This window comes from Homo sapiens, chromosome 14 (assembly GCF_000001405.40).
Source record: "Homo sapiens chromosome 14, GRCh38.p14 Primary Assembly".
Taxonomy (NCBI): Eukaryota; Metazoa; Chordata; class Mammalia; order Primates; family Hominidae; genus Homo; species Homo sapiens.
In genome coordinates, this window is record NC_000014.9 from 52544672 (window position 1) to 52561290 (window position 16619).

The following is a 16619-nucleotide window of genomic DNA, read 5'->3' on the forward strand; positions in this document are numbered from 1 at the left end:
TAATATCTCTCTCTAACAAGCCGGTGTTCCTGAAAAAAAAAATGAAGTAATTACTCATTGGTTATTTCCTAATAATTCTGTTCTTCAGAGGCAGTATATATCAAACAGTGAAAAAATTTGCCATCAATTTTTAATAATGAGTCAAGAGTTCAAAAACTCAAAGTAAAATGAGAAGCAAGAACTATAAGAGGTATATAAAAATGCAATTTTAATGGCATAATTAAGGGGTATCATTGACATTAAAATTGATTATACATTATAACCATTTTAAACCAGCCTATTTTAAAGCTACTTTATATTAATAGGGATGTTTTAAAATAGGTCATCCACTATTTTCTTCATATTCTGGAGAAAATGCATGCATTTCTGAGGCTAAGAGAATAACTATGTAACATTCATTACTATATATGAAATAACTATAACCTAATTAAACTGTACAACATGAAAAGCACAGGTGAAAGATTCCAGTATAGAATATCATCTTTCCTGGCCTCCAGGTTATAATTTAACCATTTTAACACTAAATTGGACATCAGTGTTAACATATTATTACTCTTTTCACCTAGAATGTATTTTGTAGCACCAAAGGTCTAACCATACAGCCAATGCTTAAATACTTTCCCATATTTCCTATCTCGTTGGCCAAACAAGATTATATATGTGAAAGCACTGTGCTTTTAATCGGTTAGAGACATTGGTGATTGTTCTTACATGTTTAGAGTTAGGAACTCAGTAATAATCTCTGTAGTTTGTTCCATCTATGGTAAGATTTGATTATTTTAAAAATTACTTAAAGCAAAGAATACCGCACGGGTCAGCTAGAAGTAGAATTTATGTCTTCATAATGAAATAAATACTGAATAATGATTTAACCAAAACCATAACAACTGTTGAGAGAAAGGGAAGATAGAAAATAAGGAAACATGCAGCTAGGGTGGGAAAATAAATGAAAGAGAACTAAATTTTCAACTTTCGCAAAACCAAAAACCAAGTTTATTGAAAATAGGACGGTCAATGCCAAAACAAACAGTGAGCAGTTGAAAGTAATTGGCTCTAAGGAAGAAGAAAGAGGGGAAAGGGAGTAGGGGAAGGATATGTACCTTGTAGGACCATGGAAGAGTGGACATTTCACATGCATGGAAAATAAAATGCATTTGCTCAGAGACATGCTGTCCTCATAAAAAGATCTTAACTAAAGGCAAGGGAATGTGGGTGGGGAAAAAGAATATCAGCAAGAGCAGAGTGAAAACAAAGATACAAAAGGTACTTGGTGACTTTTTTTTTTCTTTTTTTACCTCCAGTAATTAGAAAAGGGAATGAAAAACAATACTTGGCCAGCCACGGTGGCTCACGCTTACAATTCCAGCCCTCTGGGAGGCAGAGGCAGGAAGATCACTTGAGCCTAGGAGTTCAAGAGCAGCCTAGACAACACAGAGACCCTGTCTCTATAAAAAGTAAGAAAAAAAATTGCCATGCATGGTGGCACACACCTGTAGTCTCAGCTACCAGGGAAGCTAAGTCGGGAGGATCGTGATTGAGGCTGCAGTGAGCCATGATCATGCCACTGCACTCCAGCCTGGGTGAAAGAGGAAGACCCTGCCTAAAAACAAAACAAACAAACAAACGAACAAACAAAAACTTAATACTACAAAAATCTAGATATCAGAACCAAGTGATGAGTACCTTCAGAGAAATGCGGCCTTGTTACCTCGGTGTGATAGTTCATTACTATAGTTCTAGTTCTCCTTGCAGTTACTAATTACACTTAAGCTCCCTCCATCCTCCACCTCTGGGGGAGTTAGTTACGACCACCAGATGACTTACTGTGGCCAATAAAATGTGAGCAAAAGTGGCATCTGTCTCTTTCAGGCAACAGTTTCGGCAGTTAGTGTTAATAAAGCCAGGCTTTACAGTCTTCTGCTGCAGTCAAGAGAAATGCCCAAATGCTGTCTATTCTGTGAGCATGAGCATAACAGAGAACTCCCAGCTAATGTGTAATAAGCATGTGACATAGGAAGAAATAAACCTTGTTGTTTTAAGTCACTGAGATGGCAGGGGTTATTATAGCAGCATAAACTATTTTCTCTTAAGCTGCATATAAACTAGAAGTGAGATGCCACCTTAACGAAAACTCCAAAACACTGGCTGGGGCCAAGCAGCATAGAAACTGTTCTGGGCCTGCTCAAGGAAACATTTATCAGAGACTGGAGCTAAGCAAGTGACCCACATTAATAAGTTTGATAAAACTGTCACTACAATAATTTGGAGGTGACATGTACCTGATTAACTTATAATGAATGTGTACCTATGTTCCCGTGGCTAATGAACTTATTTATAGCTCTAAAAGAAGAGGCTGGAAGATAGATTAGTACTGTGTGATGGTTGCTGTTGGTGGTGTTTAACAAGGTATTAAAAGAAAAATACCCAGAGAAGAACTGCCATCCAAAAGACTAGATGTTCAAAACTTAAAACAATCCTTAGGCCCCCACCCGTGCATGGTCACAAAGCAAACTGACAAAACTGCTCAGCCACAGAAAGAGGTCAGAGGCCATATGCTCCAAAGCCAATTTCAGATGTGGCCAAGAGTAACAAAAATGGAAGAACCTCACACAGGGCAAAGCCAAGGACCACGGAGAACTATGCTGTAGGGCATGTGCAGAGTAAAAAGTATTTGTTACTTGTCTAAAATAATGACATAAATACAGAAATGGAATGTAAATGTTTAGAACATTTTATAGCAATTTCACACAGTAATTTTATATTTGTTGAATCTAATAATAATTTTAAAATTGGGCTTGTAAATTGATGTTCTTTATTTCACTTTTCCTGTAATTCATTTCTATTGTGTTAGGAGTGTTGTTGTTGTTTCAACTGGCCTAGAGAACTCAGGGAACAGAACTAGAGCCCTAGCAACAACTGCCTAGAGAGATTTCAACCGTAGATTGCTACAATCTAGAGTCTGGTGTGTGTTTTCCATTCTTCCTCTCTCCAAACAGGAATACTTACAGTTATCTCTCCCAGCACTGCCTTATGTGTTCAACAGGGGGTGGCAGACAGATAACTTCTATCTAGACCAGTAAAGAGATGACCACTGCTGGGCATTACTCAGAGATCCTCAACTTTAGGCTTCACATAGTGAAGATGGTAATTTTGAATTACCTCCACCAGGAAAAGCCAAGGAAGAACTACATATACAAAGGAAAGCATTTGTTGACGAGAGACTGTTCAAATGTTTCTAGTTCTCTGCACGTTAAAATTATACATCTCACTTCCTTGAGTTAGGTATGGCCATGACTTGGCCAATGAAATGTGCAAGGTGACATGTACTTCTGGAAGCTTTTAAGAGTCAGTATACATGTGCAATGAACCACAACACACTTTCCCTCTGCCATGATGACTGATTACACTCAAAATTAGGCCTTGTCTGTCAGCCCAAGTCCCAGAAAGAGAACACCATAGGGGAAAGCTCCCAACTGATCCAGTGTAAACTAAACTATTATGTGACGGTTACTATGGGACTGAACGAAGGCAGAACGAATGTAGAAATGAAAACAAAGACAAAATAATCTGTTTTAAAGAAGGGGTCGGGGGCTCCTTGCTTCTAGTGAGCAAGGGCCTTGAGCTTCCACAACCCTTCATATTTATTGGGTAGCAAGAGCAGGGAGGAGCAGGTAATGGTTGGTCAGCTGCTTGATTTATCACAGGTTCACATGATTGCTAACAGGCTTCAGATGTTCCTGTAGATAATCACAAGAAACACTGCGCCTGGGGTGTGACTGGCCTTAGCATTCCTTCTGGGAGGCAGACGCAGTTTGTCAATTCGCCAACAACCTGCCTTCATGAGAACAGTTTGCTGTTTGCTCATATAGCCTCCAGTGGTATACCGAGTTGGTCACAACCCTCATTCTTTCTGCCTCCAACACTATTAGGCCAGGCACGGTGGCTCACACCTGTAATCCCAGCACTTTGGGAGGCCGAGACGGGTGGATCACCTGAGGTCAGGAGTTCGAGACCAGCCTGGCCAACATGATGAAACCTGTCTCTACCAAAAATACAAAAAATTAGCTGGGCATAGTGGCAGGTACCTGTAATCCCAGCTACTCAGGAGGCTGAGGCAGGAGAATCACTTTAACCCAAGAGGCAGAGGTTGCAGTGAGCCGAGATCACACCATTGCACTCCAGCCTGGGCAACAAGAGCAAAACTCCGTCTCAGAAAAAAATAAAATAAACCATTATTTTAAACTTCTAATGTTTCCGGGTTGTTTCCACAGTATAACCCAGTCTAGCACTATTAGTACACCTGGTCTTAGTAACGGGTAAAGGGATTATGACTTGAACATAAGATGACTCTTTAAAATGCAATTGACTATTACCACAAAAGATGCCAATACTAAAAGACGGGAAAAGTAATAGGTAAATGTTTTCCATAGCATGTTTGCCAATACTACAGATACACCTCCCAACTACATGTAGACTTTGATCCTTTGGGCTGCGAGAGGCCCTCAATTCTTCAGTATAATGGTCCTGCTGGCATGGATCAGAGTTGACATATAAGATGTAACTTTTGTCTCATCCCTAAACTCTGAAGAAGTGTGTTTGCACAGCTCATTTAAATAATAGAAAGAATGAGTGACATGTAACTAAAGACTAATACAAGAGGGTAACAGCACTGTAAGAATGGCTCCGTGAGACAATAGTAGAAAAAGGGCTAAAGCGTGCACATAAAATGTTAAAGGCGACAAAAGTGTGTTTTGTTCAGCAACTGAATATTAAGCTCCAAAAGACATCAAGGAGGAAGTACTTCAAGAGAAAACGCTAGTCTTCTTGTAAGGAGACAGTATGAGGATTTGCCTTTGTGTTCCTTAGGCAGGTAGAACAGCTGGTAGCCCTCGTTAGCTCCACTAATCCCATTTTGGTATAGGGTACTGTATGCAATAGTAATTGACAAACAGTTCTGATTTTTTTTTTTTTTTTTTTGAGACAGAGTCTGAACAGAGTCTCTGTCACCCAGGCTGGAATGCAGTGGTGCAATCTCCACTGACTGCAAGTTCTGCCTCCCCGGTTCATGCCATTCTCCTGTCTCAGCCTCCCAAGTAGCTAGGACTACAGGCGCCCGCCACCACACCTGGCTAATGTTTTGTATTTTTAGTAGAGACGGGGTTTCACTGTGTTAGCCAAGATGGTCTTGATCTCCTGACCTCGTGATCTGCCCACCTTGGCTTCCCAAAGTGCTGGGATTACAGGCGTGAGCCACCATGCCCGACCCAAACAGTTCTGCTTTTAAATGTTTGAAAGACTACTGTGCTAGGGTCATCTGTCCTCTCAGAACAACAATATTAAATCTTTATGCATTTGGACACATTTAAATTTTAGAATAGCTGACACCAAGCTTTTCTAGGAAACCCTTGGTTAGTTCCCCCTTTATAGGCCTAATATTCCCTTATGATTAACCATAAAATTAATGGCTTTTCCTCTCAGAAAAGAAGGAAATTAACAACTGTAACTATTAAATAAATTGTAGCAACATCTGTGGCCATCATACTCAGGAAAAAGACACACTTCATATTTTGCAACAAATGGAGTATATAACGCTTACAAAGTTCCCATAAGAACATTCTGTCTGAAGTCAGCTTACTTACAGTTTAATGCTGCTACTGGAGAACAGAACCTGCTCACTGAACCAGCCTCAAATAAAATGTTGATCAGATCTCAACACAGTTTATCATTTCAGACCCAAGGAGGCAATAAAAGGAGTCAACATCTCTCCCCTTTAGAGCCTTTTCAAAGCAGTTGGGAGGAAAATCCTCTACCTGCACCCTCACCGCCCACCTCTAAACACACACTCCCATCCCCCAAAAAAGAGAAAGGAGGCAGCTATCCAGACTTGCTCTTACTGACACATGGCAGGTGGCAGGTAAGCCTCACAGGCCAAGACCTAAAATTAGTATGGGTACTATCCAGATGTTTACTATCACTTTGAGCAGAGAATAGAGGAGAAAAAGAAAAACCTTTTAAAGTCTATTGATGACTTGAAATGTGCACCTCAATGATTATGGAAGATGCAAATAGGCCATGGCAGAGAATATGTGGCGCCCTTGATTTTGACAAGTGCCTAAAATCACACAACTCTGATTTTATGCTCAATTTAAATACTTAAGCACATTACTGCAATCAATTACATCACTGCTGTCATGAGCATCCTGTCTCCTATTTGAAGAGAATTGTGTACCGCCCTGACCACATTCTCTAAAAATACATGAGATGAACTTCTTAGGTTCCAATAAACATAAAATCCTTCTCCAAAGCATAGATGTTGGATTAGGCCTGTTAACTTCTTAGAGCAAGCCGTACCCTCTCATACACTGCACTCTCTACCTGCTCAGCTGAACGTTTCATCTGAGGGATGTCTAGGTAACAGTGCTAGGCCTGTACATCTACCACAGTTTGTCAGCATACCTATAAAGAACTCAAACCACACTAGCATCTGGTACCTGGACAAACGACTGTCCCAGAATCTACAAAATAGACTTTAAAGTTCCCTGTGGAATACTTAGCTAGGAAAAAAGACAGCAACACTCTTCTTGGGCAAAGCATATGACAAAGGCCAGCCTGGACAATATAGTGAAACCTCGTCTCTACCAAAAAAAAAAAAAAAATCAGCCGGGCATGGTGGCTCCAGTGCCTGTAGTCCCAGCTACTTGGGAGGCTGAGGTGGGAGGACTGCTTGTGCCCAGGAGGTGGAGGTTTGTAGTGAACTGTCACTACAGCCTGGGCGACAGAGCGAGACCCTGCATGAAAAAAAGGAAAAAAAAAAAAAAAAGCATAGGACAAAGGATGGTGAGGTAAGAAAAGCTGGGTCTTTGTTGCTCCAATAAACGTAGCAATGTCTTTCACAAGGATACTGAATTCGTAATGTGCTGTGTATTCTAAAGAAAACAAATTATTTCCTTTTAATTTTGCACTACTTGCTAATCTTATTTCCAAATAGGAAAAAAAAAAGTCAACAACTATGTGCCGGCCCAATATACGTTAGTCGATCTGATTATTCCTCGGTTCTTCACAGCAGTAACACAGCATGTATTTTCTCTCTCAGGCCCAGGAATAGCGCCACCATCTACCATACACAGGTCCAAGGCTTCGATACATGTGGAATTTAAACAGTACAGAATATTCTACTTCCTCTCCAGGCAATCATCATACTTACAAGTCTGTTTCTGCCTTTTTCCCAAAACTTAAGCCCAGAGCATCTTCCCAAATTCTACGTTTGAAAGAACCAGCTTCCCCCTGCTCACAGATCGCTTCAACATCCATCTGATACTACTACTACTCTTCCTTAAGAGACATTTCCCTTGGCCTTGGGAGGAAAGGGTCTTTCACTTAAGAGCTCCGATTCTCCCCGTCGCCCCTTTCCATCCCCTCGACCCACAAAGGGCTCCGGTGTTTCCCGCCGTTCATGCAGCGAAAAGAGAAAGCAAAATGCCCTCAGGAGGCTCCAGGTGAGGCCCTTCGGTGCCCCAGAGACGGGTGTCTTAAGTCAGACTCCGGAGCTGTGCAGTGCAGCCCTGGCTACAGAAAGCTGCTTCGTCTGAATCCCCGGGTCTGCAGGCAGAGCCCACAGCCTGAAGGGCCAGCGCTGTCACCTACCTGCCCGGGACCTGCGGGCGGGGACCTGGGCCGTTCCCGAGGCCGCGCGGCCAACAGTTCCCGCCGCCACGCGACGGAGGAGGAGGCAGAAGACGGGGCCGTGCCAGACTAGCCGGGTAGCCTGGAACCACTTCGCCAACCTGCAAAGGCGTAGCACTTCTCCCTCCCAGCCTGCAGCCGCCACCGACTCGGCGGAGTCGGCCTCCTGGGAAAAAACAACCTGCGAAGCTCCTCCTTCTCCTCGTGCTCCCTACGCGAGGCACTCTCTAACCAATGGGAAACGTGGTGGGCGGAGCGAGAGTGACAGACGATTACAGAGTCCTCCCGCCGGCGCGAACGGGCGGTGCAGTAGCAGGGCCAATCAGCAGCGTGGGTGGGAAGTACAGGGGCGGGAGAAAGTAGGGAAATTACGCGCCCAATCAGATCTCGGGGCCCTCGAGCGACGGGTCCTGCGGCCCGTGGCCTTCCGAGCGCGGCGCTCAGGGGGCGTGCCTGCCTGGGCCAATCGGCGCGAGCCCACAGTGCGGAGCGAGCGCCTCAAATGCTCGGGTTTCTCAGCTGATTGTCTCCAGCCGAGAGTTGTTTTTTGCAGCTACGGAGCCGAGCCGCAGCAGGAGGAGCCGAGACCCCCGGGGGGTGGGGGGAAAGAGGAGGCGGGGTCCGGGGGAGCCGCGGCTGCTTTGCGCTGGACTCCGGGTCCCGTCACGGCGCTTCCTGGGGTTAGAGGCTGGGGTGGGTGGGGGGTAAGGGGGCAGTCCTTCTCCCCTTCGACGGCGGCTCCGAGTCCAGCCCCTTCCTTCCCGCGCTCGCTCGCCCGGCCCCCAGCCCCCTCATGAGGGTGTCCGTGCCGGGTCCGGCGGCCGCTGCCGCCCCCGCAGCCGGCCGCGAGCCCTCCACGCCCGGCGGGGGCAGCGGAGGCGGAGGCGCCGTCGCTGCAGCCTCAGGCGCCGCGGTGCCGGGCTCCGTGCAGTTGGCGCTGAGCGTCCTGCACGCCCTGCTCTACGCCGCGCTGTTCGCCTTTGCCTACCTGCAGCTGTGGCGGCTGCTCCTGTACCGCGAGCGGCGGCTGAGTTACCAGAGCCTCTGCCTCTTCCTCTGTCTCCTGTGGGCAGCGCTCAGGACCACCCTCTTCTCCGCCGCCTTCTCGCTCAGCGGCTCCCTGCCCTTGCTCCGGCCGCCCGCTCACCTGCACTTCTTCCCCCACTGGCTGCTCTACTGCTTCCCCTCCTGTCTCCAGTTCTCCACGCTCTGTCTCCTCAACCTCTACCTGGCGGAGGTAAGGCGGGAGGGCCGGCATGCGGGGCCCGGGCGGGTGCGCGGGGCCGCCGGGATCAACTCCCGCTGAGGACCAGCGGGGGCGGGGGGTGGGCAGCGAGAGGCGGACTGGAAACCAGCCTGGGGAAACTGAGGCACACCTGGAGTGTGAGCCAGTGTTTTCGCCTTAAACTTAAGTGGCTGATTGGCTTGATTACTGAGGGGTTCGGGCTAGGGGGTGAGTGAGTGAGTGTGTGTGTCTGACAACTTAAAACAGCAACGGAACGAACCCTTTGTTCGGTGTTCTGGCCCTCCGAGGTAAGGCGTTGGTGGCACCAACAAAGTGGCATCGCAAGAAGTAGCAGCCCCGGTGGCTCTGCCGAAGCCGGACTGTGTTGAGGGAGGTTGGATGCTGAGGTAGCAGCAGCTCTGCTGAAGCTGGACTGCTGCCAGCCATTACGTCACCAGGCAGAGCTGTTCCTCTGCTATTGTTGCTGCGTTTCTTTTATTAGAAGCTTATATTCCCTCCTGCATCTCCTTTCCTGTGGCTCGATAAGCCTCACATAAATTTCGTTCGATAGTTCCCCAGCAGGGTTGATGATCAATAACCAATGCTGAGGATCAGGATAAGGACCTCCATAAAGCCCTTAATGTTTGCCCCAGTTGCTTCGTGCTTTAGCGGTTTATCCTACCTCCTATTAGCATAGTCTTTTTTGGAGCTAATTAAGAGAAAAAAATACTAGCTTAACCTGTGCCTATTGCAGAAACAAAACCACCAAACTGTTTTTGCAATAACTTGCTTAATATCTGGAACCTAATCACACCCCCTTTCTCTTTTATGGGGAATTGCTGGTTGGATTGCATTGTTCTGCAGCGCTTAGGTATTTGACCCATTTCAAACAGGTTTGGGAGTGTAAGGTTGTCAATCATGTGTGTCAGCTTGTGGTATTTAAGCCATAATATTTTAAGACTTTCCCCCAAAAAAGTCCTCCTTCCCACCAAAAGAAAAGCTTGAGGAGGGGAGGAAGCAAGGTGACATCATATGCTTAATACAGACTAATATAGAATAATATTGGCCTATGCAGCTAATCCTCTCAAAGGCTTTTTTGGAGGTGATGGAATTAATGTAGTTCCAAGCAAAAGTAAAAAAAAAAAAAATGACGTATATTAAGTGTTTATATTTCCTGCATAAACCAACTCTTTTCTCCTTTAATAGGAAGTAGAATGCATAATTTTATAATCAGTCATAATGTCAGCTATTTAGCACACTAAAAACAATAGTTGAAAACAACAAAACTAATTTAACTTTTATTATTTTCCTTCTCCATCCTTTGAAAGTCCAAACAATACAATGACAAAAACGCAAACCAGTAAGCGGAAATAAGAAGCATAGGTTATCACAAATCAAATGATGCCATAGTCGTGTCACTTATTTGAGGGTGTTCTAATCTAGTTGTCGTTTAAGCTGTTATAACACTTCTACCCTTTATACTTAAACTGATACATTGTAATCTTCCTGCCACCATTTCAGATAGTGCGTTAGTGACTTCTCAACGCTGAAGCTTTTACTCCAGGTTCAGATGTTTACCTGAAAGTGACTAGCGATTTTTATGCCAGGGGCATCAGATGACTTGTTTTTTCCCTATATATTTTGATTTACAAAATAATATGAATGATTCACTGTAAAATAGTTGGTAGGCATTTCATAAAGTGGGTAAACACTCTTTTTACTTCTTGAGGTATAACATATACAATAAAGTCCACAATCTTAAATGCACACCTAGATGAAATTTTATATCTGTATACACCCATGTTACCACCACCCAGATTAAGATATAAAGCATTTTCCGTGTCCCAGAAGTTTCCCTTTTTACCCTCTCCCAGTCAGTAGCTCCCCCAGGTAAGCACAAAGTGGGTAAACACTATCCAAAAAAGGAGATATATTTAAGCTCAAAATTCTGAAGGTATGCTTATATAGCATAGAATACACGGAGTATCTAGATTGGGTCTTCAGACTTTGAGCTAATATTCCAAGCTAGTGAGGAAGAATTTAAAATCTGAAAGTCTTCCTGTTAAATGTTTGTGTAATATGCTTTTTTAAAAACGATAAAACTCTATTAACCTGAAAAATACAATTTGGAAAGAAGCTGGGATAAAGCTTTTTTCCTTTGTAATGCCTGCTAAAAAGAGTGTGAGTTGTTTGTCTATCCTTTCTTTTTATAATGAAATTAACAATTTTAGGACACAGTTGTACTTAAGAGAACAAATTGTCAATTTTTTGAAAGCCTGTTTGAAAGGAGATATCTTAACCAGAAATCATTTCTCTTTTCATTAGAGAAAATCTCCAGGAACCTGTATTTAAGAGAGTATTTTAGTTCAAATTTTTATGTCAGTTCCAGATAACTGCAAGTATACTTCCCATTGATCATTCTGAATTAATGAAGTTTTTCCTAGTGAGTTCTTCATATTATAGCAAAGTGGTAGGGAAAGCCTATGTGGTGATAAATATAAGACTTAACTGATGTTTAATTTTTTTAACCAAAAGCCCCTATAACTTTTTTGAATAGTCGTGTGTCTTGATTACCAACTCACTCTGTCTTTGCTGTATGCCGTATTAAATACCAATTCCATATTACTTTTCACTTGTTTAAAGCATTTGTTTTTTTCTGATTCTCACTAAGAGTAGCTTTAAGGACTTAGTTATAAAGAATCGTGGATCAGTATAAAAAGTAAAACAAACTCTACTACTTTGAATACATTTTGGTGGATATTCTAAAACTCATGTTTTTGAAAAGTTAAGAAATGCCTCAACCCCTTTTTTCTTTTTTTTTTTTTCTTGGTGTCTACACTTGAATGGAATTGAGATGAGGGAAAGTAGCCCTTTCTTAAACAGTTAAGCTTCTCAGTGTCTCATACTTAACCTCCTGGAAGCCTATAGTTGAGAGAGAGGGGGAAAAAAAAAAGAAAAGCCACCTTGTACACTAATCTAAAAACACATTTTGAACTTCTGGCAGGATCAGTAGGACAAGAGCTTTTCCAGAGAAGGGTTCACACTCCTGGAGTTTTACCGGAGAAGACTTCAATATTTGAAACAGACTATCTGATAAAACTGATTCTATCTACCATTAGAACATATTGAAGGACTTAAAAGGAGAATTGACAGCATCACACAATATATCCATGTAAGAAACCTGCACATGAACCTCCTGAATCTAAATTTTTTTTTTTAATGAGAGTTGATGGTATACCATCTTGGAGTGTTGTGATGCATGCCAAAATCAATGAGTTCATCTTCAACATATTGAAGTTCTTACTTTCAGTTTGGTCTTAGGAGTGCCAGTTGCTTAATCAGGATAAAGTACAGTGACTTAATTACAATGCCAAAACAGATAGGAAAATTAAATTCAAAATCTTAACTCTTACATTTATGGATGCTATTATTGTCCCTACCAGTAGATATATTCTTATATTGGTAATACTTCAAATAACATGCAAGTCAACTTACAGGTTCATTTGATTTTGTTCTGTTCTTTGATTTCCCACAAAAGTTGAAATCACATTTCTACCACCTAAAATAGAAATTCCTTGAGGATAAGAAGGAATATTTTACATATTTTTATCTCCAGCAACTAGAACAATGATGATTATATTATTGAATGACACTTTATAAAAAGGTCAAAATTTAGAAAATAGTTATCTAAAATATGGGGGTTAACTTTATTTTGATGAACATTTGAGGTAAATTATGTATTGTCTGGAATCTATTTTCTGCCTAAAAGATTTCATACAATATAGAGTTTTGTTTAATGAAACTTTTTATATCATGGCAAATGGCCCATACTAATTAAGGCTTTGCTAATTTAGTTTCAACAAATTCTACAAAATAGAAAAGTCTGTAAGATGAGTCTCATATCCTGAGTCAGTTACTGTTTACCAGAAATACTGGTTTAGTTCAATGTTTGACTTTTATCCATAACTGACTATAAACTGTTTTTGTCTGAATCTACTAAATTTTTTCACTATCTTGATCTTATTTCTCCTGAAATCATCTGTGAAGCCGAAGTTTCAGATACATACCTGTAACAAAAGACATGATTATAATGCCTTATATTTTATGAAATTGGTATTTTCAAAGCACTTTGTAACATTTGTCTTCACAACCCCCATGAAATAGAAAGAGATGTGATTTGTCCAAAATTAAATGGCTAATATGTATCAGTTGTGATACTATTGTATAGCTCAGGTGCTATGAAGTCTTATCAAGTAATTTGTTTCTATACCATGAACTTTCCTGGATACATCACTTCTTTAATAGTGCTTTTCTAACTTGCTTTCCCGTTTTTCACATGGTTTCAAACCTTTTCCACTGTCTAGCAAACTCTTTCTTCACCTTTCATCCACTGCATATGACTCTTGGTTTAAAGAAGTAGAAGCCAGGTCATCTGGCCTACCAGAGATTCAGAGAAATGCTGCAGAGAGTAGTCAGTCTTTTTCAGTGCATAATTGGGCTGGCAAGAAAAGGCCAGAAACTACCAAAAAAAAAAAAAAATGCAGAATGATAAAATATCACACAAATGTGTGTCTTGGGGGTAGGGCAGGAGTGGTTTTCAGCTGCCTCCTGTTAGCCTACTGCCCAGATTTTAATTTTGTGTGTTGAAGGTGTAGGGAGGTGTCGTTGCAGGCTGTGCCTTGCAGTGAGGTCTTATAAAAGACTTCATCCCCTCCAGCATAATGCCAGAATCCTTTAAGTGTACACCTTCAGTGGATCAGCTAGGAAAATAAGCAGGTCCTCAGAGCTAGATAGGGGGTACAAATTGGTAAATAAGTCTTCCCTGGGAATGCAAAATAAGCTCATTCTTGCACAAGTTTGAAGCCTAAATTCACATCAGTTCTGTGATTGAGAGGAGCAGACTGGGGGGTTTCAGGAGATCTAACTTGAAAACATAAAGTTATCCTTGCTTGATACTAACCTCAAGGAGCTGTAAGAAGCAGATGCAAAGCATCTGTGGAAGAATGTACTTTAAACCCAGACTTCTGACAGATAAAATTCCAAAAAACATGGGTTCAGAATAAAAAATCACACTGGGGAATTGCAGATGTCAGAATTATTAAATACATAGTACACAATAATTAATCATTTATGAATTAAACACTGTTGAAATACAAAAAATTGGCACATTTGGAAATCATTTTTTAATGAAAAAATTAAAAACTGAAATGGATGGTTAAACAGATTAAACACAGTTAAAAAGAAATAAGTGAACTAGAAGATCTTAGGAAAAAAAATCACTCGGGATATAGCCCAGAGAAATAAAAGATGGAAGATACAACCAATGGGTGAAGAGAGAATGAGGATATAATGAGCAGGTCCAACATATGTGTAATTGGAATTATAGAGAAATTATTCAAAGGGAAAATAAGAGTTTACGCAAATTTATTAAAGACATCCAAGTTTCAGATCCAGAAAGCCCAACAAATCCAAGGTGGGCTTTGTGAAAACATATTTAAAGTACACTTGAAAACACTGACCTGGTGCAGTGGCTCACGCCTCTAATCCCAGCACTTTGGGAGGCCAAGGCAGGCAGATACAAGGTCAGGAGATCGAGACCCTCCTGGCTAACATGGTGAAACCCCGTCTCTACTAAAAATATAAAAAATTAGCCCAGCATGGTGGCACGCGCCTGTAGTTCCAGCTACCCGGGAAGAGAGAGAGAAGGCAGGAGAATCATTTGAACCTGGGAGGTGGAAGTTGCAGTGAACCGAGATCACACCACTGCACTCTAGCCTGGCGACAGAGCAAGACTCCATCTCAAAAACAAAAACAAAAAACCTTCAAAATCAATGTGATAAAAGCCATATGTGTAGTGTAAAGCAGAAAATCATATGATCATCTCAATAGATGCAGAAAGAAGAATTTGACAAAATTCAACCATAGATGATTTTTTAAAATTAACTTTTAGTAAATGAGGGAAAAGGGGGAATTTTTTCAGTCTAATAAAAAGCATCTTCAAAAAGCCTATAGCTGATATTATACTTAAATATTGGCAGCATATTACCTAGGAGAAGAACAAAGTACTTCACAACATTGTGCTGGAAGTCTTAGCCATTGCAATAGGCAAGGGAAAGAAAAAGGTTCGAAAATTAGAAAAACAGAAGTAAAATTGTCTCTATTTGTAGGTGACACAATTTCTTAGGTCAAAAATCCTAATCTACAGATAGCTACAGGAAGTAATATTTAAGCTTATAGGATATAACTTTTTATATACTAGCAGAAAACAATTAGAAAAATGAAATATAAAAATTCCACTTGGCAGGGCATGGTAGCTCACGCCTTTAATCTCAGCGCTTTGGGAGGCCGAGTTGGGAGGATCGCTTTAGCTCAGCAGTTCATGACCAGCCTGGGCAACATAGACCTCATCTCTACAAAAAAATAAAAAATTAGCCAGGTGCAGTGGCATGTGCCTGTAATTCCAGCTACTTGGGAGGCTGAGGTGGGAGGATCACTTGAGTCCAGGAGATAGAGGCTGCAGTGAGCCAAGGTTGCACCACTGCACTCCAGCTTGGGCGACAGAACAAGACCCTGTTTCAAAAACAACAATTCTACATGCAATAGTGTCAAAAAATTAAAATATTTAGGAATAAATAAAAGATGTGCAAGACCTCTACAAGGAAAACTACAAAACATTATTGAGAGAAATTAAAGAGGCCTCAGTGAGTGGAAAAATATACCCTGAAAAGCTCATTGCTTTTAAGGTGTTATTTCTCCCTTAATTTGACCTATAAATTCAATGCAATTCCTATTAAAATTTTTGCAGGATATTTTGGTAGCTGTTGCCAAGATGGTTTTAAAATATGCGTGGACATACGAGGGACTTAGTGTAGCTGAAACAATTTTGTAAAAGAAGGACGAAGTTGAAGGATCGCACTACTTGAAGAGTAACTGTAAAGCTACAGTAATCAAGAGAGTGTAATGCTGGGGAAAAGATAGACATATAGATCAGTGGAGCAGGATAGAGAATCCAGAATTAGACCCACATATATATAGTCAACTGATTTTTTTCCCCAAAAGTGCCAAGGTAATTTAGTGGGGAAAAGTTTTGTCAACTAATAATTCCAAAATAATTGAATATTCGTATGGGAAAAATGAACATTGATTGTTACCTCACACCATAGAATGTACTTGACATAGATCATAGACCTAACTGTAAAAGCTAAAATTTGTAGAAGACAGAAGATGTTTTCTTGGAGGAGGCAAAGGTTTTGCAGTAAACAAAAAGGCATGAACCAAAATTGACAAATGAGACTTTATCAAAATTTAAAACTTTTGTTTTTTGCAAGACAAATAAGAGGCAAGCCACAGACTGGGAGGAAATATTTGCAGCACATGTATCTGGCAAAGTACGTTTATCCAAAACATAAAGAACTTATAACTCAATAAGAAAATCCAGTAAAAATGAACAAAGGATTTGAACAGATACTTCACAAAAAAGATATATGCATAGCCAAGAAACACAAGAAGAGATGCTCAAGGTTATTAGTTATTAGGAAAACAAAAATTACACTCACGTTGAACTACCACTAGACATTGATTAGCAGGACTAAAATTTAAAAGACTAACCACACCAACTATTGGCCAAAATGTGGATTAATTGGAACTCCTACACTGATGATAGGAATGTGAAGTTTTACAACCACTTTGGAAAACAGTTTAGCAGTTGTTA

The 16619-nt window shown here is 41.3% G+C and overlaps 2 protein-coding genes across 12 annotated transcripts in view, besides 2 other annotated features; one reads left to right on the forward strand and one right to left on the reverse strand.

The window, feature by feature from the left end:
- The window catches only part of TXNDC16 (thioredoxin domain containing 16), a 121910-nt gene extending 114076 nt beyond the window's left edge, over positions 1-7834 (reverse strand). For all 5 annotated transcript variants that reach the window (XR_007064038.1, XR_007064037.1, NM_001160047.2 and 2 more), the window contains exon 1: positions 7645-7834. The gene's annotated coding sequence lies outside the window, so the exon portion shown is untranslated. The remainder of the gene's footprint in view (positions 1-7644) is intronic.
- A 330-nt stretch (positions 7835-8164) lies between these two features.
- Positions 8165-16619, forward strand: part of GPR137C (G protein-coupled receptor 137C) — an 84878-nt gene continuing 76423 nt past the window's right edge. For all 7 annotated transcript variants that reach the window (NR_148417.2, XR_007064006.1, NM_001353361.2 and 4 more), the window contains exon 1: positions 8165-8920. Coding sequence is in view for 5 of the 7 variants with exons in the window: in NM_001353361.2 (NP_001340290.1) it covers positions 8477-8920 (444 nt within the window). In the remaining 2 variants the exon portion in view is untranslated. The remainder of the gene's footprint in view (positions 8921-16619) is intronic.
- Positions 8355-8424: a silencer, noted in NCBI's record as "silent region_5744". NCBI's record gives its function as "represses an Ori minimal core promoter by ATAC-STARR-seq in GM12878 lymphoblastoid cells {active_cell/tissue: GM12878}" and the evidence as "EXISTENCE:reporter gene assay evidence [ECO:0000049][PMID:35858748]".
- Positions 8435-8634: a silencer, noted in NCBI's record as "silent region_5745". NCBI's record gives its function as "represses an Ori minimal core promoter by ATAC-STARR-seq in GM12878 lymphoblastoid cells {active_cell/tissue: GM12878}" and the evidence as "EXISTENCE:reporter gene assay evidence [ECO:0000049][PMID:35858748]".